The sequence below is a fragment of the Homo sapiens genome, chromosome 1 (genome assembly GCF_000001405.40).
Source record: "Homo sapiens chromosome 1, GRCh38.p14 Primary Assembly".
Lineage (NCBI taxonomy): Eukaryota > Metazoa > Chordata > Mammalia > Primates > Hominidae > Homo > Homo sapiens.
This window is the reverse complement of record NC_000001.11, coordinates 164,178,695-164,180,937: the sequence shown is the minus strand read 5'-3', so window position 1 is coordinate 164,180,937 and position 2,243 is coordinate 164,178,695. Positions and strand designations below refer to the sequence as shown.

The 2,243-nt window shown below is 37.3% G+C and overlaps 1 annotated feature.

The window, feature by feature from the left end:
- Window positions 989-1,158: an enhancer, noted in NCBI's record as "experimental_715 CRE fragment used in MPRA reporter constructs". NCBI's record gives its function as "activates a minimal promoter by MPRAs in K562 erythroleukemia cells, with activity observed for both the introgressed and non-introgressed 1:164149102 variant alleles {active_cell/tissue: K562}" and the evidence as "EXISTENCE:reporter gene assay evidence [ECO:0000049][PMID:34662402]".

Sequence of the window (2,243 nt, the reverse complement as noted above, 5' to 3'; positions counted from 1 at the left end):
ATCTTCACCTGGATTTCTTGCAAGTATCTTAAAATAAAGGTACCTCAAATAGATCTCATCTCTATCTTTATCTCTAAACATGTTCTTCTTATTATGATCTCTTTTCCCTGGATAGTACCTATCACTCACAACAAATCCTGTGAATCACCCTGGAAACTTTTATCCCCTTTCACCTTCTAAATCCAATCACTCATCAAGTCTCAAAAATTCTTCTCATCACGTTTTCTTGAGTTTATTTTTTCCATCCTCTCTGCGACTCCCTCAGTTTAGGCTGTCATCATTTGCTGATGAAAACACAACTGAATTTTTACTTCTAATCCTGCTCCACTGTTGTTAAAAGTTAATTGTTCTTAAACACAAACTTTATCATACTAATTGGTTGCTAAAAATCCCTTAAGTGTAATTCACTATTTTCAAGATAAAGTCCCACATCCTCAATATGTTATGCAAAGCTTTTCCTAAAATGGCCTCTGCTTTCTTCTCTAATTTTGTATTTTGGTATGCTGCACTTTTGCACAGTCTTTAAAACGCTTTCAATTTGCATTACCTTGTCATTCTGTGTCGTGAATAAGCATTTTTGCTCCTGCTGTCCTCTTTACTCAGAATTACTTTTTTCCACCATCATGTCATCGATTAGCCTGGTGAGACATTATAGCATTTTTAGGACTTTAATTCCAATGACCCTTGCTTTTAGAGCCATATCTGCCTCTCTACAAGGCAGAAATAATCACAGAATCCTTTGTGTCTTTCTCTCCTCCATTTCCCTCTAAGTATACTTTTCTGACATCATAAAAATATCTTCTTTTACCCATTTATGACATACTGTATCTACCAATATGGTGGGCAGAATCATGGCTCCCCAAAGATGTTCACATACTCACCCCTGGAACCTTTGACTATGTTTGGTTACATGTCATTGAGGTAGTAAGTATGCTAATCAGCTGACCTTAAAATAAGATGATCCTGGATTAGCCAAGTGAACCCAATGCAATCACAAGGGTCCTAAAAGTAGAGAAAGAAGGTAGAAAAGTTAGAGTCAGAGAAGCAGATGTAACAAAGGGAGCAAGACTAGAGTGATACAATGGGAGGACTAAATACACCCTTGCTGGCTTTGAAAATGAAAGGGGGCCGTGAGCCTGGGAATGCAGGCAGCCTTGAGGATCTGGAAGAGGGAAGGACATGAATTCTACCTTGCACTTTCCAGAAGAGATACAACCCAGCCAACACCTTGATTTTAACCTGGTGAGACCCCGTTCAGACATCTGATCTCCAGAACTCTAAGATAATAAATTTGTGTTACTTTGTGTTTGTGATGATTTGTTAGAGCAGCAATAGAAAACTAATATAAGCAGCCCAGTGCAAGCTCCTTAAAGGTAGCTCTTTTGTGTCTAGTGTATGGTACACAATTAATATTTAATATTTTAGTGTTGAACAACTAAGCTTAAATCATGGTTACTGGGGGAATTCAAGGAGCTTGCCTACCATCTGTGCATGTGCAAAGCTTTGAAGCATGAAACTCCAATTATGTTACAACTAGTTATAACATAATGTAGTTGTATGGTATGCTCAGAGCTCTTGCCTTGTAGAAATAGGGAAAAAAATGGAAGGTTTAAAATTAAGGCAGAACAGCTTGGTGTGGTGACAATGCATAAGACACAGTCCATCCGTCACATGTATAGTTCTTAACTCGATTTCAGGAGAAAAGAAATAAGCATTCAAAATGAAAACCAACATAAGAGAACACATAAAAAGAGCCCAGATGATGAAGGAATAATTTTACTCTGAGGTGGTCAAGGTAGACATTATAGAGGCAAATGAAAGTTGAGGCACGTGAAGACATTATAAAGGGACATGAAGAAGATTGTCATTCTATACATATTTGCAATTTCATTTTTGGCCTGGCAAGTAAAGTAAGATGATAATGTTGTAGACTTAAAAGAGACCTGTATGTCTAAATGGGCAAATAAGTGGGCCAGTGAATGAATGAATATTGAAAAGAAAGCCAGATTTACATCCTGGGAACATGCCTTTGGGGGAAAAAGGCTTAAAATACACTGAATAAAGACATTTTAGACAATTGTGACTATGCATTTTGCCTAAACATTATATCAAGTCTGAATCTGGAGGCAGCAATAAATAAAGAAGTACCTACATGCATTTTCACTTTGGCCCCTATCCCTTTACTAAACAGTTCTCTCAAAGGACAATGTTTTTCTAATTTTTCCATCAAGTGGCCATTGCTC